General features: G+C 41.9%; 1 protein-coding gene across 11 annotated transcripts in view, besides 3 other annotated features; it reads right to left on the reverse strand.

The window, feature by feature from the left end:
- Positions 1–23,147, reverse strand: part of DOCK9 (dedicator of cytokinesis 9) — a 295,191-nt gene that overhangs the window by 268,235 nt on the left and 3,809 nt on the right. The gene's annotated exons all lie outside the window — the stretch shown is intronic.
- Positions 5,100–6,299: an enhancer, noted in NCBI's record as "P300/CBP strongly-dependent group 1 enhancer chr13:99719017-99720216 (GRCh37/hg19 assembly coordinates)". NCBI's record gives its function as "activates an origin of replication core promoter dependent on BRD2, BRD4, P300/CBP, MED14 and CDK7 cofactors, with strong dependence on P300/CBP, by STARR-seq in HCT116 cells {active_cell/tissue: HCT116}" and the evidence as "EXISTENCE:reporter gene assay evidence [ECO:0000049][PMID:35650434]".
- Positions 13,923–14,002: an enhancer, noted in NCBI's record as "active region_7924". NCBI's record gives its function as "activates an Ori minimal core promoter by ATAC-STARR-seq in GM12878 lymphoblastoid cells {active_cell/tissue: GM12878}" and the evidence as "EXISTENCE:reporter gene assay evidence [ECO:0000049][PMID:35858748]".
- Positions 14,093–14,152: an enhancer, noted in NCBI's record as "active region_7925". NCBI's record gives its function as "activates an Ori minimal core promoter by ATAC-STARR-seq in GM12878 lymphoblastoid cells {active_cell/tissue: GM12878}" and the evidence as "EXISTENCE:reporter gene assay evidence [ECO:0000049][PMID:35858748]".

Raw genomic sequence — 23,147 nt, forward strand, 5'->3', positions numbered from 1 at the left:
TGAGGTTTCCCTGGCCCTCTCCCCACCCCCACTGCTCCCAGGCGACCTTCCTTTTCCTTCTCACCACATCACTCTCATTTTCCACCTCCATGCCTTTCTATCCCATTCCGGTACTGTTTGGTTGTCTGTAAATGTTTTCTAATTTTCCTATAATAAACATGTATTGCTCATGTAATAAGAGAGGAAAAAGCTTTTTGTTTTTTGTTTTTGGTTTTGTTTTTTTTTTGAGACACGGTCTCACTCTGCTGCCCAGACTGAAGTACAATGGCGCCATCACAGCTCACCGCAGCCTCTAACTCCTAAGCTCAAGTGATCCTCCCACCTCAACCTCCCAATTAGCTGGAATCACAGTCACATGCCACCATGCCTGGCTAATTTTTTTATGTTTTGTAGAGACGGGCTCTCGCTATGTTGCTTAGGCTGGTCTCGAACTCCTGAGCCCAAGTGGTCCTCCCACCTTGGTCTCTGAAAATGCTGGAATTGCAGGCATGAGCCACCATGCCCATCCCTAGTTCATTGTAAAATGTACCAAAGAAAGGTCCCCTAAGAGCATCTGACAAGCCAACTTCTTATAAATCTAACTCAGTAGGAATTGTGCCATCTTTAAGTGATTTTAAACTTAAAAATAAATAAAACTTGTATAAAGTTTACATTTACTTTTACAGTTCATTGCCCCCTCCCAAGCAAACTTCGAATGACCTCATGGGAAACCAACCAACCAAAAAACCCACCAATCTATTTCGTTTTTCTAATTTGTCATGTGTTATAGATCTCTGGTCTGACAAGTTTTTAAATCACAAAACATACACTTATGACCTCCTTGATAAGCACCATAAATAAGAGGAAAACCATTTGGATGTGGCCTGCAAAGTAACCAATTTCCTTCTCATCTCCTGGCTTTTCTTAAAGACACGGAAAGAATGAGGGGCACTTGTCTGCATTCGCTCCCGCAAGCCTTCTACAACAGGATATCGCCATCCGCTGCCTGCTTTTCTGCTTTTTGTTCACTGCTCGTAACAGGAAAACTTGCTTTCCTGCTTTCTCAATACCAAATGGGTTACTCCTGCGAGGGAAAACATCCCTTCAGAATCCACCCCAGGGCTCCACAGAAGGCAAGAGAAACAAAAGCTGCACCATTCTCTCCCCAAATATTCCATTGGCAGGCAGCCCAGGACCGCGCCAGTTCAGTGGTTTAATATCCTGTCTCTTTGGCAGAAAAGGGAGAAAGAATTATGGAGCTGCCAGCCCAGGGTCCCCGAATCTACTCTCTACTACTCTGCGGGTGTTACCATTTGCTGGGCATCCATCATGACACCATCTTTTGAAGAAAGACAAACCAGCCACTGTCAGATAAGGGACCGAATTAGGAAAAGACCCATGTGAAGGTTCACGACTCAGAATACAAGAGGTCCAGGAAAGCCAGCAACAGAAAGAATCACTCTCTATGTCAGAATATTAGAGAAGGATTTAAGAAACAAAAGAAAAGAACCAACAGGAAGGCTTGTGCAGTAAGTCTAGACAGAGGCAAGGTAGAAAAGAACAGGGACAAACGAACGATGAAAAGCAAGCCTGGGTCATACTGAAAGATGTCGTGCTCTATTCATGGCTAGTGAGCCAAAATGACACTGCTGGTGACAGCCCTACGGCCCTACCCAGACTGTGGGGAACCCTTCCCAGCCTAGAAGGCCTCACCGAGCAGAGAATACACACATTCCTACCAAATGCTGGGGCTAGGCCTCACCTGGGTGTGGGTACCCAGGTGTCCAAACACCTTCCTCCACCCTGCGACTCCCACAAGTCACCGGACACCATGTCATCAGGGCTCCCTTTGCCTCGGGTGAGCATCCATATGCCTCCCAACCTGACACCCCTTGGTTTCTGGGGCCCAAACCAACCACTTCAACTGGAACATCCTCCAACTACCATCTTCACATACCTACAACAGGACCTCTCAAACCATGTGTGGTGAGGGTCCTCTTTCTCCTCCAAGCCACTGGGGACCAATACTTTTATAAAATACAAATAATCTTGACAATTACTAATAAATGAAATAAAAAACAAACCCATACAAAATATAAGCCCCAAATTTTTGCTAGATTCAACAGATTTAAAGTTACCCTGTCGATTTGTTAAAAGTTTCTAAACACGAATTCTCAACTTTTTTTTTTTTCCATTCATCTTCAAGCACAACTCATCTTGTCACAGGTCAGTTATAAACAGTTGACACACCAACCTGTCCGCAGGTTTCACGCTGAGGAGCACTCCCTCCCTTCCAACATGAAATGGAGGCTCAACACTTTCATAGCCTCACCTCCTACTATGCTTCTCTATTCTGAAGCCTTCTACTAAGACCTGTAGATCTTCTTCCATTTGAGGTAAACTCTCCTTTATCCTCCACCTTTTTCTCTCATCTTCTCTCTTCACCAGCTAGCTTTCTCCTGACCCTCACAGATGTCCTGGTCAAAGATGTAAATCAAGACTTAGGAATGAGTCACTGGAACAGAGGCAGTAGCTCAACTCTCTGAAAGTGAAAGGAGAACAGCAAGTCCCCATTTTCTATGGGATGGCCACAATAGGAAGCTGAAAGAGAAAATAATGAAACAGAGAGAAGGGTGCAAAGAAAGACTTATCATTATAACTGTTGTCACTATATTGATAAATAACAGGTGGCGGTGACAGTATTTGGATATCAAAGGAAGGTGGAGTTTCAAAGAGAAGAGAGAGATCTATGGTCACATGAAGCAAAGAAATCTAAGAGGAGGAAAACTGAGAACAGTTTTCCATCTATAATTTATCAATCCATGCAGTGACTGAGCTTTTATTTGGAAATATGAAAGAAGTTCACATCTAAAAATGAACCGGGGCCCCCATTGCACATTTATTTTCTCTCACCTGGAAAAAGTAAACGTGCAAAAAGGCATAACAAAATAAATTACCTAACTTTATATCCCCTCTCTAAATAACTATTTATGAGCTTACTATTTTTAAAGGCTTCTTTCATTTTTCCCTTCAAAGGGAAGCATGGAAAGGACATTCCTGAAAACTGATATGAAGTCAAAATGTCAGCTTTGAAGACAGTGGTGGAGAAGACAGCTGGTCGGGGGCCTCATGATTAAGCACACTGATTATGACTGAGTATTTTAAAGAGGACAAGATAAATGGTTTTTAAAGCTGTCTGTTCTACCCTAAACACTCTCTAAAAAATGAAGGCCCCCTAATAGCTCACTGCTAATCCATTCCTCTGCTGGTGGTTTATAAGGGGAGATGAGATTCTCATCTGTCTGCAATGGTTTATCTGAAATTATCTGAAAGCGAAGGACCAGATAAATTCTACACTCTTCTCAAGGCCTGTGTAACGGGCTGGATGTTCTCAGGTTTCTGCATCACCACACTCCCAGCACAGTCACGCACGGCTGAAACCTAAGGCTATAGTTAATGCCTCTTGCTTCTTGACCTCACCTGGCCAGGGAGCTCCAAGCTCACTGTGTGGAGAGAGGAAGGAGGATTATTAATCAAAATTCATTGAATAAATAAATGTCCTAATCTAATCAGGTTCAAATACACATCAGCTTAGTCCCAAAATACTTCTTACACATAACTTACACATTACTTTCTGCCCTCATTACCTGCTGCCTAAATTATGGCAAAAGTCTCCTGAGTAACACCTCAACCCCCAGCTTTCTAATCCCACCCAATCCCCAGCAACTAAGCTCTGACAACACAGTCACTGTATTCCCACAGCAAAGTTCTAATCTTGAGGCCTTCCAGCTCGAAAACCCACAACAAAGCATCAAGTCAACACTCCACAGCCTGGCCTTGTCTGCCTTCCTCACTCCCTGGGTGACCAGAATCTGTGTACCTCTAACCCTCCATACATGACACCAGACGCAACTACTCACTGTTTCCCAAGTACACGCCATGATTTCCTTCCTCAAGGCCTGTGCTCCTACGGGTCCCTCTATCTAGAATAATTTGTATCTCTCACATTTCCTTCATTACCCTTTTTCTGATTCCCTCCACTGGAGGTAATCTCTCTCCTGAGACCTCTTTAACGCTTTACTTATAACTCTCCAATGATACAATCTTCTATTAGGTATACATGAAGCTCATTTTGCAATCTTCTCTCTCCTATTAGTCAGTCGGCAAGATGGGACAGGATCTGTCTCACTCATCCTGATTCCTCAAAGCACCTAGCACAGTGCTTGGCACTCAACAAATGTGTTTGGACTCAACAAATGTGTTCACTTAATTGATGCATGTACGAAATTTAAAATTTATCAGTTCAGATATATGTGGGAAACAGTTTTCAAGCATCTATAAAATACATGTGCATGCTTATTTGTTTGCCAATCAAATAAATACTTGCTCATTTCTTTACCCAGGAGATTAACATGACCCACACACGTCCTGAATGGCATAAGTAAAAAAGATAAAACTAAACAAAGATCAAGGCTAACACAAGTGTACACATCTTTATCTAAGAACCAACTTTAGTACTTTAGCATGTTTCTTGGCACTCAAAAAGTGGTGTTTTTCTAGAAACAATGATCATTAGCCCCACTGCAAATCAGCAGAATGTCACCTTGTTTCCAAAAGCCCCCAAGCTAAGTATTCAGCATCTTTTACAATCACTAAAACCCAAGGAATGGTGCCATGCAAATTTGTGTTCTATGGAGCTTAAAAAAAGACTGAATTTTCTTTTCATGCCCAGTACACACAATCATTTCAGATTATTTTTAATCTAGAACTCCACAAAAACTGGTTTCATTTTCAATTCTAAGGAAAACTGGTTTCATTTTCAATTCTATATCAACTATGATAGACAAAGAACTATAATAGCATACTATGTTACTTAATATAAATTTAATATGTTAATATACTATATTATTTAACAAGCTTAACATGGCTTCTGGAGTTAATTAAGGACATCGTCAAGATCCAACTCCTTGCATATTTTGGGGATCTTTGCACCTATGGAGCGTATTCTAAATTCCAAGAGAAATAAATCTCTTAAATGCCCTGTTTTCCCTAGTTAGCTTAAAAGGAAATTACCTGCATATAGCTACAAAATGCTAATTTTAGGAGTCCTTAGGTTGTCAATAGCTACATTACCATAAAACTAAAAAGCCTCCCATCCCATCTCTCTAGCCTGTTCCTTGGAGTCCTGACCCACAATTCTCACTGCATGTATCTCATTCATGGTAATTTCTTCTGCCACTACCCAGAATCTTTACAAGAGAAATATCCTATCACTACTCCCATGAATAACAGCCATATTAAACATCCGGTTTCTGAATCTTGCAAAAGGAGTGTAATAGATAAGTAGGTCCCAGTATGTTTCTACTACCCAGAAGGCTGACTTCAGTCTTGACACCTTCCTACAAACTCCATCTGCACCGGTCACAACCTTCCTTCTTCCTTCCAGGAGCAAAATAGCCAAGCGGCAGAGGACCCTAAAAGAGGACCTCAACACCAAAGCTCCCTGGGTCCCATCTGTGTTCCTTTGTCCACTCCAGATTCCATGCTCCTTGAGGACAAGGATAGTGTCTTCACCAAATGTTTACCTTTCTTTAGTGTTTGTTGAGTCAATGAATCATGAGTGACAACCTGAGACCTACTCAATACTAAGGTATGAGAGCTTTAAAAACTTCTAACAGCACTGCATTTTTCTCTGCTAACATCATCATCAAGAACTCAAAAATGACTCAAGATCTGCTAAGATCCTCAACTAAAAGAGGACACTGAATCCTCTCCAAATTCCAGGGAAAGATGCCCTGGCCTGAGAATGTGGAAAAAGATCACAAGGGAAGCCTGCAGCAGAGAAGACTGGATTCCATCTGGCCTCTGCCCCTCCTCTCCCAAAGGTCACTGCAGATGGAAGTGAGCTCCAGGTCTGCACCAGGCCAGACTCAAAACCAAATGATTTGGTCAGAAAGGAATCAACTCTGCAGCTTAAATCAACTCCAGGCTGGTCAGTGACTTCTCCATTGTGCAGGTGCCACCCATAGGCACCAGGCCAAGACCATAAAGGAGTAAGTAGTATGGGTAAAATACCATTTTCCTGACATGAAATGCAATGCTCACTGGAATATGCTGATTCTCCCACTGAGTTGCCCAAGAGATGGAGAGGTAGGGCTGCTTCGGGGCCCATTGCCCAGGGTGGAGGATATCCAAGATGCCAAGATTCCACATTGTAAGGACAGAAGCTTTTTTTTTTTTTTTTAAATGTCTAACAACTGAAGCCATGGAAAAAACATCTGTAGTTCCCCCAAATTCTGGGAGCTATTCTGAAACTCTCCCCCATCAAATAGAGTTCCCTAAGCCTACAGAAAGAACCGATCCCCAGTACCCCACATGTGGTTCTCCACAGCCCATAATCTTCAACCCCCCACCTCCTGCCCCAGCATTGATACTCTAGACCAGGATATGGAATCACCAACTGTGACTATCCTCAATTCAAGAAACCCTCATCTGCTATTGGTGATCCCTTTTCTCTCATGCCACCTCTTACACATGAAGGAAATCTCAACACCAATGTGTTTAGTAACTTCGAGGAGAAACCAACACTGTCAGGAATCTCCGCCTCTCTGAGTTTTCAGTGGAGAACTAAGAAAGTCTCTTTAAAAACCTAATACCCTGGCCGGGCGCAGTGGCTCATGCTTGTAATACCAGCACTTTGGGAGCCCCAGGTGGCAGATCACCTGAGGTCAGAAGTTTGAAACCAGCCTGGCCAACATGGAGATAACCCCATCTCTACTAAAAATACAGAAAATTAGCTGGGCACAGTGGTGGGCGCCTGTAATCCCAGGTACTGGGGAGGCTGAAGCAGAATCACTTGAACCCAGGAGGCGGAGCCTGCAGTGAGCCCAGATCGCGCCCTGCACTCCAGCCTGGGCGACAAAGCGAGACTCCATCTCAAAACAAACAAACAAACAAAAAACCCTAATACCTCAATCAGTTTTTCACGAACTCCACAGAAATTAGTTAAGCACATACATCCTTCAGTTTAAAAAAAAAAAATCATTTAACAGCAGTTACTTTCGATCTTTTAGGAAAAAAATAACATAGAAGATTCTTATAAGAATAGCGAAGGAAAATAAAAATGGCAAAATGAACACAGTAAAAGCCTGGGAAGGAAAAAGTTAACCTAAGAGATTAAATATCCTGTAAATTCTAGCTAGTATAATAGTTTACAGATGAACCTACTATACTATAAATATTATGGCACCTCTGCTATCACCATAGGAACTCTGCTTTCTACTTAAGAAAACAGCAATATGTTAGAGTGACAGATTAAATAAGTCCTCTAAACAATCTTAGAAATGCAACTCTTTCTATAATAATACAGTTTGAACCAAATTGTCATTTACAGCTGAATATTTATTTTAGCCAACGCAAAGCAGCCTGAAATGTAAAATGACCTAGATTAACAGAGCTTATTCTACACTAACAAATTTTAGGTTAATAGGCCTAGGGAGGTTTTTTCTCAAGCCACATCATAATTTTAACCAATGTACGTGTAAAACTGTGATATTCTGTCCCTTCAATAACATTGACTACTAAATTAGTTCTTCCTTCATGAATAAGTTACTACTGAGACCTTTTTTAGATTAATTTTCTAAGTTTTGCTTTTTATTTCTTTCTCCCTTTCATCCTAATACCCCTTAAACAGAAATGCAGAACTCCTTTCTTGGCTTGTAGAAACATGAATATCAATTTCACCAACAAACTAGCTTGGGACTAATGAAATATACAAGCACGGAGGAGATCCATGGTGCAAATAGATGTTTCATAGTCTCCTATTATCTGATTACCAATGACACTTGACAACACACAAGTGTAAACAAAGTAATGTAATTATTTTCTATAGTCACTGGAAAATTCACTGGACCAGGAGTTGGCAAACTCGATTTTGTTCTTGTCTTTATAACTAGCTGTAGACCACAAAGGTTTATCCATGGCTGATCTCATCTTCCTCATCTGCAAAATTAGGAAGCTGGACCAGATGACCACCAAAGATGACTTTCATCTCCAAAAGAATATTTCACTTTCATGTCACGCATTTCTATAAACCTAGAGAATTAGTGGTACTTTCCAAAAAATATGTTTAATGATTCAAGTTAATCGCTTAAAAGTTTTCAAGAAACTCCAACTTCAAAATGATATCTTAAAATGTTTTGACACTTTTAGACAATCTCTGCCATCTTGCCAGGAAAAGGGTTAAGGTTAGCCAGGTGACCTTAATTAAGCAAGTCACTTGATTTCTCTGGTCTTTAATTCCTCATCAAGAAACAGAAATAATAAAACTATCCCTGTCTATCTGACCAGATTTTCCAGAGGCCAAAGATAGACTTTTTTTTTCTTTAAAGAACTTTATAAACAGTCAAATGCAAAGTTGCATTGTTTCACAGGGGCATCCCGCCTCTATGAGCATTTAATGCAGGGCTCTTAACTGTTGACAATATTTTTGCTTCCAACATGCATGTGTGTGCCCTCACTTCAGGAACATATTTTACATCACAATGCCCATGTGTACAAGCACTAAGATATACAAGTGTAATTTTCAAGCATACCGATTTGAACATCTTACATGTAGTACAAACTTTCCTTCCAATATTCAATGTATTTGCTTTTTCTTAATAGATTATTACCTATTCACTTAAACAGCTGGGAAATCCTAGAATATATAAAAAACAAATCATATTCCTATCTTTTCATGTGTTTCCTTCCAATATTTTTCTTAAACATGTTTTCACACAATTGTGACCACACGCATTTCTGCTTACTGCGTTTTTTTTGCTCAACATTGTAATTTTCCTGTGTTATAAATTCTCCGCAAGCAGCACTTTAAAGGGTTATATGGTATTTCTTTAGCTTGCCCCCATAAATAACCACAGCTTGCACTTAGTGAGTATTTACTGTGTGCCAGGCCCCATTCTAAGTGCTTTATATGCAATTGCTCGCTTAAGTACAAAGATCTATGGGGTAAGTGCTATTAAAATGTCCACTCTCTGGGTGAAGAAACTGAGAAGGCAGAACTAGTAGATGAAGAGCTGGGGCTGAAGCCTCCTGAACCCAAGTTCTCATGCACTATATCCTACTGCCATCCATGGCAAGAACTATCCCCCTAGTAACAGAAACTTGGTTATACAACTGCATTTCTATGTTTAGAACTGAGGGAATAAACATTTGATATTTAACTTATTCTTGAAACAAAAGAGAATGGCTTACTTTAGAATCTGTAAGATCATAAACTTTTTTCCGTGAACAAAATATTGCTTATTTTTTTCATAAAAAAGTAAATAGTTCTGTATATTACAGTTAACTCTTGAACAACGCAGGAGCTAGAGCTACCAACCCCCTGCACAGTCAAAAATCCACCTATAACTTTTGACTCCCCAGAAACTGGCTAATAGCCTACAGTTGACTGGAAGCCTTACTGATAAACAACACACAATTTGTATGTGATATATATTATACTGGTTTTTTTGTTTTTTGACACAGGGTCTTGCTCTTTTGCTCAGGCTGGAGTGCAGTGGTGTGAACACAGCTCACTGCAGCCTCAACCTCCCAGGCTCAAGCCATCCTCCCACTTCAGCCTTCCAAGTAGCTGGAACTACAGGTGCTTGCCACCATGCCTGGCTTTTTTTTTTTTTTTTTTTTTTTTTTGCCATGTTGCCCAGGCTGGCCTTGAACTCCTGGTCTCAATCCATCCATCTACCTTGGCCTTCCAAAGTGCTGCAATTACAGGCGTGAGTCACTGTGCCCTGCTATTACACTCTATTCTTACAATCAAGTATGCTAGAGAAAACATTATTAATCATAAGGAAGAGAAAATATACTTACTACTTGTTAAATGGAAGTGGATCATCATAAAGGTCTTCATCGTCTTCATAGTGAGTAGGCTAAGGAAGAGGATGAGGAGGGACTGGTCTTGCTGTCTCAGGGGTAGCAGAGGCAGTAGAGGTGGAGGGTGTGGGACAGGAGGCAAGAGAAGCAGGAACACTAGGTGTAACTGTACTGAAATACATAATTTCTGGCTCGCTTTTTAGTTTTTTAATTTCTCTAAAAATGTTTCTATATAGTACCAATCCTTCCACCATTCGCTTTAGTTTCAGTGCCCGTATCTTAAAGGGATCCATGCCATAAAAGAAGTCAAAAGCACTCTTGAATAATTAGCATGCTTCTGCCAGACTGTCTGACGTCAACTTCTTTTCTGGCAGTGCCTCTTCTTCTACGTCTTCTTCCTCATCATGGGGCATTAGTTCTGAAGCACTAGTTTCCATGAGACCTCTTCTGTTAATTGCTCTGGTGTGGTGTCTATTAGCGCTTGAATTTCTCCAAGGTCTTTATCTTGAAACCCTTCACCCCAGCCCCACCTTTTTTGCTATATCCACAATCTCTTTCACGGTTTCCTTGATTGGCTCTGTCATAAATCCTGTGAAGTCATGCACAACATCTGGACACAGTTTTCTCCAGCAGAAATGTTTCAGACTTGATGGCTTTCACTGCTTTTTGTATAACAATGACGGTATCCTTCAATGATACACTCCTTCCAGACTTTCATGATGTTCTATTTGGGTTGTCTTCCACAGCGCTACGGTCCCTTCCATAAAGTACAGTGTGCATTGAGCCTTAAAGGTCCTTATGGCCCCTGATTTAGAGGGTGAAGTAGGACATTGTGTTTGGGAACAAGTAGACCACTTCATTGTCTTTGGTGTTGAACTCATGTGTTCTGGGTGGCCAGGAGCATTGTATAATATCAAAAGAACTTTAAAAGGCACTCTCTTGTTTGCAAGGTACTTCCTGACTTCGGGGACAAAGCACTGATGAAACTGAGGGAAACTAAAGATGGGGTTTAGCATCAGCTCACCCCAACCAGAGCATTCTTTCATGCATCCCCAGTGATCACAAAACCCCATACCACTACCTCGCTGATGCTATCTATACCCACTAACCCTGAGGCTTTAGTCAGATAAAGAAAACACCCATTCTAAATTGTTCTTCTGTGTTCTCAGAATGTTTAACCATGCCTTTTACTTAAAGAATTCCAGGGGCCAGGCATGGTGGTACACATATGTAATCCTGGCACTTGGGACGCCGAGGCAGGAAGATCACTTGAACTCGAATTTGAGACTAGCCTGGGCAACATGGCAAAACTCCATCTCTACAAAAAATACAAAATTGAGCCAGGCATCATGGCACACACTTATAGTCCCAGCTACTTGCAAGGCTGAAGATGGGAGGATTGCTTGAGCCCGGGAGGTCAAGGCTTCAGTGAGCCAAAATCACACCACTGCACTCCAGCCTGGGTGACAGACCCTGTCTCAAAAAAAGAAAAAAGAATTCCAGGAATTGGCCATAGGAGATCCAAAATATGGAACCAAGGTTGCAGAGTGTCTCACCTCAGGAAGGAATGCTGACCAACTGATTTATAGCCTTGTTGCCACCGGCCAGACCACCATGTGGCCCATCACTCAAGATAACCATCGCAACCAGATATTCTGACCCGCATACCCTACCACGTGCTTTGCCCAGCCCACCCTGCATATCCTACCCCTGATGTCAATTCCCATGCTTTGCCTAATAGAAAATCCCTACAGGCTCAGAGAGTCAGCTAAGGAATTCTCTCATTCTCATTCATTCTCTCTCTCTCTCTCTTCTCTCTCTTCTTTCTCTCCTCTCTTCTTCTTCTTTTCTCTCTCTCCTCTCTCTCTCTCTCCTCTCTCTCTCTCTCTTTCATGCTTCCTCCCTTATGCTCAGGCATAAGCTCCAATGAAGGCTTTTCTTTCGGCCTCGGGTCGATTTCTATTGCATTGAGGGCCCAAGAACCCATGGCTGGTAACAAAACCAATCCAGAAAAAGGGTTCTCCTTGACCAGGTCTTCTTATACAATGAACAGACTGGCAGCTGGCATTGATCTTTTCCCTTTAAGGCTAGGGGGTTGGCAGCTTTATAGAAAAGGGCAGTCCTGATCATAAACCTGATTGCATTTGCACAAAACAGTAGAGTTGGCCTAACCCTTCCTGCCTTCAATCCTGGTGTTCACTTTTCTTCCTTACTAAAAAATGTCCTTTGTGGCATTTTTTCCAGAATAGGGACTTTAATCTGTATTAAAACCCTGTTCGGGCAGATATCCTTTCTCCTCAATGACTTTCTTAACGACATCTGGGAGCTTGTATGCTGCCTCTTGGTTGACAGAACTGCTTCTCCTGTTATCTTGATATTTTTAAAGCCAAAACTCTTTCTAGAATTATCAAACCATCCTTTGCTGGCATTAGATTCTCCAGCTTCAGATCCTTCACATTCCTTTTGCTTTAAGTTGTCATATAATGACTTCACCTTTTCTCAACTCATCGGTCTATAGGTATTCCTTTCTATAGCAATCCTGTGCCCACATAAAAGCTGCATTTTCACTACAAGATAAAAAGGTGTTTTGCAAGAAGTGCAAGGTTTTTATGCCTGCTGACGCAGCTACAGCTCAACAGCTCACAAATTTCCTTTTCTTTTTTCACAATGGTCCTTAAACTGGATTCATTTATCTTAAAATGGCAGGCAACTGCAGCTGCAGAACACAGTCTACAAAACATATCAAGTAATTCAACTATTTCTTGTAATGTCATGACTTCTCTCTGTTTCCTAGGAGCGCTTCCAGGATCTTTGTAAGGGCTGACACTTTGTAAGGGTCCAATGGTGTTATTCAATGTCTATGGTATTACACTGAACATCATATACAAGAAGGCAAGAGATCACTTTTTACCGCAATAAGCAATTTACTAGAGAGAAAAGAAAAACAGCTCGGAGCAGTCTGAGCTATGTGAACTATGCAGGCCCAGAGAAGAGACATGAATATGAGACTTCGGGTCGCCCCACTCCGTGCCCAGCGGCAACTGTTTAAAGTCATTTGGTTCCTGACTAGCTGCCTCCCCCATTATCTTCATGTTCCCAGAATGTGTGATACAAAGAACAACAGATGAGCCAATCAATAGCCCATGTTGTTTTCATGTGAATTCTTGGTAAACAACTCAGAAACTGCCTCTTCTTTTCCTTTAAAAATCCACTTGTAACTCCTGTTAATCAGAGTGTATATTCAGGGCAATTTGAACCTTTGCTCCTGAGTTGCAGCAAGCTTGGCCCAAATAAACTCTCTACTTACGTTAAATTTTGCCTCCTCTTCTTCTTTTTGGGTCAGCACTGGAAAGAGGAACTGCTCACATAGGGATGATTGGTGTCACACGGTGTTTTAAGTGGATATTCACAACACAACACTCACCACAAAAGCTACAGGAGGTGGCTATGAAATCATTACAGTAGTACAATATGTACTGTAGTTAATTTTATGTAGTTATGATTTAATGTTGCATCTTTACATTTGTTTCTCTGGACTGTAAATGGCACCATGTATGGTCTGTGTTTGTGTGGGTAAGTTTTGATAAATTTTAACTTTTTATAATAGATTTGTGTATCATTTACAGTAGTAAATGATAAAATAGACTAGTATCTACACATTATTTTATATATTAATGACATACCTTTTTCTTAATTTCTTCAACGGCTATGCAGTTCATCTGTGAGTTTTTTCAAATTGTTGCACATCTCCAAAAATGTTTACAATACACTTATTTTTTTAATCTGCATATAAGTGGACCTGTGGAGTTCAAACCCATGTTGTTCAAAGGTCAGCTGTAGTACTTTTTTTTTTTTTTTTTTTGAGACAGTCTCACTTTCACCCAGGCTAGAGTGCAGTGGCTCAATCAGAGCTCACTGCAGCCATGACTTCCTGGACTTAAGCAATCCTGCCATCTCAGCCTCCTGAGTAGCTAGGGACTACAGGTGTGTGCCACCAAGCCCAGCTAATTTTTTCTTTCCTTTTTTTCTTTTTTTTAGAGATGGGTTCTCACTTTGTTGCCCAGGCTGGTCTGAAACTCCTGGGCTCAAGCATTGCCCCACCTCAGCCTCCCAAAGTGCTGTGATTACAGGTGTTAGCCACTGCACCCAGACAATGGCACTATTTATAACTTTTTTTTTTTTTTAACTTAGCATGGTAAACATCTTTCCTTAGAACATTTGCCTAACTGTATGACTGAACATCTACTTTGTTAAGACACAATGTTTAAAAAATAGACATGAATCTCAATTTGAATCTCAATCTATTTTAAGAGTTTTAAAATAAACTTCATGGGCTTAATGGAGACCCTGGGTAGTTCATGACCATCTGCTTTCAGATTCACTTTCAGATTAACATTCAATAGAGGGGGGAAGTCTCTACTACAGGCCCTGACCCAGCCTGTCTTCCAGTGTCATCACACCCAAGCGCTATCTTAATTATCTTTATCCCTGTCAACCTCAAAGAAAGAGAGGCAGGAAGATTCAAAGTTCTGATCAGACAGTAAGTCTCTTGCTACCAATTCACCAACAAAGAGTCAAGAAAGAAATAGAAAGTAAAAGTATAAAATAAGATAAATTCACTGATAAGGAGTCAAAAAAGAAACAGAAAATAAAGATGTAAAAGATATAATGTCACCATCCACGTGCTCCTTGCAAAACTCATTATTCAGTGAATGAAAAGCACTCCCAGTGATTTTTATTCCTTGTATTTTTGTTTTGTTTTGCTTTCTTCCAGATAAATGAGTTACTAAATATTTAACACAAGAGTTAGATCAGTGTCTTCTTTTACACATTGGAGCTCTATGGAATTGGTGAAAACAAATGGTCCTAACATAGAAAATTAATCTTATACATTTTGTACAAGATGTGTGGCTGCTTTAAAATCCTATGCAAAGATCCCCATACGGATTTACAGACAATCTGAACAGCTTTTCCTAAACTAAAACAAACACAGAACCAGCCTCAAAGTGATACACATTCTGATGTGCAAAAATATTGGCAAATTAGTCATATGTAGCAATGAGAAACTCATGATATGATAGAGCCTGTGCATTAGGAAAATTAATCTGGCAGCAGGAGGTAAACTGGGATGAAATAAATAGAAATGGGTGCAGGGAAGAGAAATTAGAGGTAATAGGAAATACGAAAAGGATAAAATGAAGATATAGAGTCAGATGTAGCATCTTCAGGGTTTGTTCATTCATCCAAAAAATATGACTGAGCCCCTGCTATGCACCAGGCCCTGCGAAAACCACGGTGAACCAACAGTCCAGGGAGGGAAAAAGACATTAAGCAAATGTACAAAAATAAATAAATAAATAAATTGTGATAAGTGGTCAAAGGAAAGGAACAGGCAGTGCATGCTTTAGTTTGGGTGGATAGGCCAGGACATGCGAGTACAGTTTCAAAGGCCAGAGAGAGTGGCCTGGCAACTGAGAGGGGTGGCCAGGGGTCATGATTATTCCAGGCAGAAGTGAGAGCTTTTTACCTCCTGGAGTATGAGAGAGGCTGGCATACATGGGAGGGTGGTGTCTGATAAGGAGAGAGCCTTATGGTCCAAGGGAAATAGTTTGTATCCCAAGGGCAATGGGAAATACTAATGTCTTCAGGGTTTAGAATTGAACCTATAAGGATGGATTAATTACGGTAGCAAAGAAACCAGATAAGAAGGATCCTATCCCCTATGATATGGTTTGGCTCTGTGTCCCCACCCAAATCCCCAGTGTTGGAGGAGGGGCCTGGTGGAAGGCGACTGAATCATGGGGGCAGACTTCCCCCTTACTGTTCTCATGATAGAGTTCTCATGAGATCTGGTTGTTTAAAAGTGTGTAGCACCTCTCCCTTTGCTCTTCCCTTTTCTTGCCAGCCATGTGGAGATGTGCCTGTTTCCCCTTCACCTTCTGCCATGATTGTAAGTTTCCTGAGGCCTCTCCAGAAGCAGAAACCTGTACAGCCTGCAGAACCATAAGCCAATTAAACCTCTTTTCTTTATAAATTACCCAATCTCAGGTATGCCTTTATTGCAGTGCAAAAATGGACTAATACACCCTACTACTGCACAGACCAGGAAAGAAAGGAGACAGGAAAGGGGATGCCAGGTTGCAGCAGGCATCAGTGCTGCTCACCAAAGATGTGAGTCCTCCTTGCAGACACATAGAAAGGACTGTACTTCCCTGCTCCTGGAGTTCGGTGCTGCCATGTGATTTGCTTTTGCCACACAGACCTGCCACATTCAAGATGGGGGCTGTCCCATCAACTGAGGTCCCAGGACAATATGGAACTAGGCTCCCAGCCCACACTCAATGGAGAGGTAGCGTGTGGAAGAAATAAACCTTTCTGTTCTAAGCCACTGAGATCTGGGAGTCCTTGGCCCATAACGACTGATTCATGACAGAAAGTAACGAATGTAGTGGTTCTTGAATGAGGAAGGCAAAGGAGATAAACAGAAGAGACACAGGAGGAGTTACAGATTTCATAGTTGGTGATGAAATGACACTCCCCACTAAAACAAGAATGTAAAAAGGACAACCTAACTTGGGATGAAAAGTGGCAATTTATGTTTCATAGATGCTGAACTTAAGGAGCTGGTAGGACAGCCAAGTAGAAGAGTCAGGCAGGAAAACAGAAAAGCAGGTCTAGGGCGGGGCACAACATGCGGTAGAAGCGGGGAGAATCAGAACTGAGATAAAACTGTGGAAATTGCAAAGAGGTGGTGCCCCCCTTCGGAGTGAAGGGAAACAATTAAATTCTATAAACCAGTGGTGGAGAAGAGACCCTTTAGGAATGCCCCTTTGTGGTGACTACAACAAAAAGAGTGAAGAAGATAAAGGAACAGACATCAGAGAAGGAGGAGGAGATGCAGGAGAATCCTGTTCCACAGAACGGAAGAGGGTGCTTAGTCGTATGGGGTGAGCCCTGAGAGGCCGCCCCACACTAAGGACATGAGCAGGTCACAGGGATAGGGAGCTGTGGATGGTGAGGAAGCAGAGGCAGACCAGCCAGTGTAGAAGTAAAGATAAGAGCTGGGTCAGTAGAGCCAAGAAGCCCCAGGCCAGGGAATAGCCAAGGGCAGAGCCTGTGACAGATAGCCTCCGGCATCTCAGAAACTCCCAGCCCTCCTCTCTCCACCACTTGCTAAGTTCTGAGCAACTTTTTAAAATTGCAGAAGCTCAAATATACAACAGGAAGAAAAAGAACTATCTCTCAGGAGTAAGTGGCTTCGCTCTGAGGGCTCCAATTATCACAGCACATTCTCAAATCATTTTCCTGTCAATATTGACCAAAGTGATAAAAGTAATACATGTCAACTGTAGAAATCTGGGAAGGACAGAAAATCGGAAGAAAAAAAAGTGAACTTCCCATCACCCCACATCCAGAGAACCACTGTTAACATTCTGCATTCTGGTTTATGTTAAAGACTAAACACAGATAGGTCAGGCCGATAGCCAGTCAACGAATGTATATAAGAGATTTATGCTAAAGAAAAATAATTTTATGACAGGTACACTTTTAAAACCTCATTCTTATCAAACCTACATTCCATACTGTACAGTACAGCTTATGTCCATGTGAATGCGGCCGTGGAGTTGCAGAATGGGGTAGCCCTCCAAGCAAAAAGTTTAACTTAACACTATGACCAAGAGATCTCTATAGACAAATAGCTACAGGGCAAATATTGTTTCTAAGCTTACTGTTTGACTTTTGTATGGTACTTACAGAGACAGACATTTAGTGTTAACATGGGGAGGCAACAGGCAGAGTGGCTAGGAGCTCAGGGTGTGAAGTTACAGTGCCAAGCTTCAAGACTCAGCCCCCATACCTACACCTGTGACCTCGAGGTAACGTAACCTGTGTGTGAAGCCTTCAGATGCATTCTAGGGCATCATAGGTGGTCAATAAATGCTGGCTCCAGAAATATTTAGTCAAGATAATCAATCTTCTCCTTTAGTAACATAATAAGAGCTTGCATTTGCTAAGCACTCACTATTAACTACTTCACATGCATTATCTTACTTAATCTTTACTTTTAAAAAACTCTGTAAGATAATACCTACCAATCCCAATACTCAGATGAGCAAACTGAGACTCGGGCAACGTATGTTGCTCGAAGTCCTCAGCCAATCAGTGGCAAAGCCAAGGCTCACCTCCAAAGCCCAGGTCCAACTGGTTTCTTCCTGAAATTTCATACTTCAAAAATCCCTCTCCAGGCCGGGCGTGGTGGCTCATGCCTGTAATCCCTGCACTTTGGGATGCCGAAGTGGGTGAATCATTTGAGGTCAGGAGTTCAAGACCAGCCTGGCCAACATGGTGAAACCCCGTCTCTACTAAAATTACAAAAATTAGCCGGGTGTGGTGGCACACGCCTGTAATTCCAGCTACCTGGGAGGCTGAAGCAGGAGAATCACTTGAGCCCGGAAGGCAGAGGTTGCAGTGAGCCAAGATTGCACCACTGCACTCCAGCCTGGGTGACAGAGTGAGACTCCATCTCAGATAAATAAATAAATACATAAATATCCCTCTCCAGTCTTACATGATTATTTCCCCATGTTTTATGTGGTTTCTTTTATTTTACAAATAACTCTTATATTTCACTATAATTTATTTCAGTATGTTCTGTAAGGTAGGGCTCCAACATTATTATTTGTAACACCATTTACTGAATGGTAACTCACCATATCCGACTACTGCTCTCATGATACCTAAGTGCCTACACACACACAGGCCTGTTACTGGATTTTCCCTTCCACGTCACACCTCCCATCCCATTCTTGGGCCTGCCTGACAGAAAACAGTCACATTATTTACTCTCAGGATTACACTTAGGGAAGGTCTCTCTAGGAAGCATATGTTCATGGCTGGTTTGAACTTCTTTCCTGAAATAGTTTCAAAAAGACAAAGGAAAAAAAATCTATTTCAGGATGTGTTCTCAGCCAATCAATGAAATTGTTCCCAAAGTTGGCAACTGTAATTTCTCAAAACCTCTCTCCCTTCCTCCAAAAACTTGCTCTTCTTTGCCCAAGCCGCTCTGCTCCTTCTTGGTCCTACCTGAGCATACTAAGCATTTGCTCAATTTCTTATTCTTTCCTAGAAAAAAAGGATAAAAGTCTTCCTTATCTCTGCATCTTCCAGGTCCAGTTTAATTCTTAATAAATTCTTTCCCGAATACACTGGTTCTGTGCTTTCATCTTCCTCTGGTCACTGAACCACGTTTGACTCTTTCCATGGTGTGCCTTAGTACTGTTAGTCACCTTAGAGTAGGTGACTGACCCGTCCACCTGTTTAGATCATAAACCCTACACGGGCAAGGGCCTACTCTGACATGGTATCATGTTCTTAGCACCCAGCAGGGAGCCCTGCCCCAGGGTCGGCCCTCAGTAAATGTGGACAGTGATTTCACAGTTCCTTCCCTCCCTGTTCAAACTCAAGGCCTCACTAATGTCCTCCTGACAGTGTACTAATAATCAAAAGGACTAGAAGCCAAAGGAATGGAACCTGCTGTTAATGATATAGTCCAAGATGGGCCTCCACCCTGCTTCCGATATTTTGGGACATTTCTGTTTTCTCCACTGGAGGGTGGAGAAAAACAGTGCAGAGAAGCCCTGGCCAGTTCAGTTATCAGCTTACTGACATCTGATTTTAAATTATAGCCAAAAACGAGATTTTACCTTACTTGAGAATTTCAAAGAACACCATTACCGGGGTCTCACGTTACCTCCGACAGCACTGGAATCTTGAGCTGAATAAACGGGGCAGTGAGGGAAGCCTCAGGCAGACTCAGGGACACTACCATCCCATACCTTCTGTCTGCCCTCCTTCAGTAATACCAAGCGAAATTTAGCAACGACCTGACTTGGTTTCATTTGTATTGTTGGAATTCAAAGGGGTGAGGAGTGGCATCACTGGCAAGTGCTTGACATCGAAGAAGAGTTTGAAGTTGAACATAGTGAGATAAGATCAGTAAGGAAGCCGGGCAGCCAGAAGACTTGTATATTAATACCCAAGTGCAGGACAGTCAGCATGCCCATGCAAAGGGATGTGACCTGATATTCACACAAATCTTTCAGAGAAAGGACACTTGTAGGCTTTGAGTGGTATTAATACATCCTCTTAGATCTAGGTCATTATGATGCCATCTTTAATACATCTGAAAGACCTGAGGTAAAATCCTTTCAGGAGCTCTAAAAGTAATCATAACTCAACCCTGCTCAGGGAATTCTTTCTAGCTTTTCTTCTGAGTTCGCGTACGTTTTGAACATGCTACCTTCCTGACTATTCTAAATTATGGAAAGCTAATTCTGAAATTGTGAGGATTCTTCCTTCATTACCAAACATTATAAATTACTTTTCCTACAGTTAAAAATGTTCCTAGTAGCACCTCCACTACTTTTATAAAAGCAGCTTAGGGCTGGGTATGCTGGCTCGCACCTGTAATCCCAGGAGTTTGGGATTGCTTGAGCCCAGTTCAAGACCAGCCTAGGCAACAGGGCAAAACCCCATCTCTAAAAAAAAATACAAAAATTAGCTAGGCGTGGTGGTGCATGCCTGTAATCCCAGCTACTCTGGAGGCTGAGGTAAGAGGATTGCTTGTACCCGGGAGTTCAAAGGCTGCAGCAAGCCATGATCATGCCACTACACTCCAGCCTGGGTGACAGATTAAGATGGTCTCTAAAAGAATAATAAATAAGGCCGGGCGCAGTGGCTCACCCCTGTAATCCTAGCACTTTGGGAGGCCGAGGTGGGCGGATCACCTGAGGTGAGGAGTTCAAAACCAGCCTGGCCAAATTGGCAAAACCCCGTCTCTACTAAAAATACAAAAAATTAGCCGGGTGTGGTGGTGGGCGCCTATAATCTCAGCTACTCAGGAGGCTGAGGCAGGAGAACCACTTGAACCCGGGAAGCGGAGGTTGCAGTGAGCCAAGATCATGCCACTGCACTCCAGCCTGGGTGAAAAGAGCAAGACTCCATCTCAAAAAAATAATAATAATAAATAAATAAATAAATAAATAAATAAATAAAAAAAAACAGCTTCAAATAGAAGCCCATTGGTGGAATAAGGGACTCTAGAAAAACCGAGTATGCCTCTTATTTAACAGAGCAGGAACCTTGAAGTTCAGAGACATTAAGCAACAGTCCAAGGGGACTTAAGTAGCTGGTAGAATATACGCCAGCCACTGCCTAAGAGCTTCACCCACATAGCTCAATTAATCCTTCCAACAACAATACAAGGAAAGCATAATTATTATCTCCAATCTACAGATGAAGAAACTGAGCCCCAACAAGGTTAAGTTATATACCTAAGATTGTACAGCTGGTGAGGCATAAAACCAGGTTTACAACCCATGCTCTAAACTACTAAACCTCTAAGATTAAAACCCAGAAGTCCTGACCCCATGGAGGGTTCTCTCCATTATAAAGAATTCTGTCTGGGTGTGGTGGTTCACGCCTGTAATCCCAGCACTTTGGGAGGCCGAGGCAGGCAGATCACCTGAGCTCAGGAGTTTGAGACCAGCCTAGCCAACATGATGAAACCTCATCTCTACTAAAAACACAAAAATCAGCTGGGCATGGTAGAACACACCTGTAATCCCAGCTACTCCGGAGGCTGAGGCCAGAGAATCACCTGAATCTGGGAGGCGGAGGTTGCAGTGAGCCGAGATCACGCCACTGCACTCCAGCCTGGGTGACAGAACAAGACTCCATCTCAGAAAAAAAAAAAAAGAATTCTAAGGCTCATGAAAGAGCTAACCATGTTTGACAAGGCCTACAAAGCTTTTTTAGGTCCTTATTAGAACAAACTAACAATCAAATATTTTTTAATATAATCTGGGAAATGTGAAGAGCATACTAACAAGTTGTTAATTTTATTATGACACAGTTATGTAAGAATAGACCCTATTTTTAAGTAACATATACTAGTTATATAGAGGTGAAATGATATAAGGCCTGGGACTCACAATCACACATGAAAAATAATAGGAAGAAGAGACATATGAAGCAGGTTTGGCAAAATCTCAATAATTATTCAATCTGGATGATGAAATATGAAGGTTCATTATACTATTCTCTCTACTTTTTGTATGCTTATTTTCAAGCTTTTCAAACAAATTAATACAAAATCATTCATGAAAGTCCATGAACCTGAACACATGAAAAATGAAGCTATTGAACAATGAAAAATGGATAAGCCCACATTATGTTTACATTTTAAAGCTTGTTTTTAATGGCAGCCTTTATCATCCACTGAACTATTTCATTTTGTTGTTTCTGATCTCATGACCATCCACTCATCAATACTTGAAGTGTGGGAAGAGCTACTAAACCCACACATAGTTTAATTTTTTTTAAATCCATCTGCAGAACTGCTTTATTAGCTAGATAAGAATATTTATTGAGCATTTATGTTGTGGGCATTGTATTAGTGCTGACCCAAGTTATCAGACACAGAGTAATTATTTCCATCTAAGGACAGATGCACAGACCATGGGATTCTGAACCTGGCGTGGTTGCTGCTCTGCCTCCTGAGAAGTCCAGGGTTACCTTACCTCACCTCTTAGACCTTCATACAACAAAGCCCGGCCAGAACTTATGTGGCAGGTGCACCTGCTGTGGCTCCCTGGCAGACACTGGAGCCACTAGAGGAAGTAAGCAGTGGCAGAGTACCAGGAAGGAGGTGGGGGGATGAGGTGTGTGGGTAATTTTCAGTATCTGTAAGCCCTCCCAGATTCTTCCTTCTGCAATTCAGAACCATCACAATGCATTTCCTATTTCCCATTCAGCCAGGGGCCCTCACATGCCAGAGCAGGCCCACCTGCTTCCCTGCATTTTGTATCTGTTCCATCACAGGTTTCATCAGACAAGTGACCACAGACAGACGAGACTAAGAGTTAAGACAACAGCCGGGCATCTGGCTCTTCATGCTTAAGGGTGTCCAGGGAAAACGGATGTACTACTAAAGTATCATGAGATAACACAGTTGGCAGCCTGTCACACGTGGGAATGGACACTCCTAGGTCACCATTAGTAGGCCATCCTCCGATGGGAAGGGCAGATATTCGGGGACTACTGCACATCAGCAGTGTTGTGTCTGCACCAGCACTCCTGGGCTCCATCTACACGGCTTATTAAACCAGTACCTGCAGCACTTTGGAAATCATGGCACACTGGTACACTTTATTTACTCTTCTTCTGCCTCAAATCCCTGATGACCACGGCAGGCCCCAGATAAAGGAACCAACTTCTGTGTGAGAACAGAAAAGATG

The sequence above is a fragment of the Homo sapiens genome, chromosome 13 (assembly GCF_000001405.40).
Source record: "Homo sapiens chromosome 13, GRCh38.p14 Primary Assembly".
Lineage (NCBI taxonomy): Eukaryota > Metazoa > Chordata > Mammalia > Primates > Hominidae > Homo > Homo sapiens.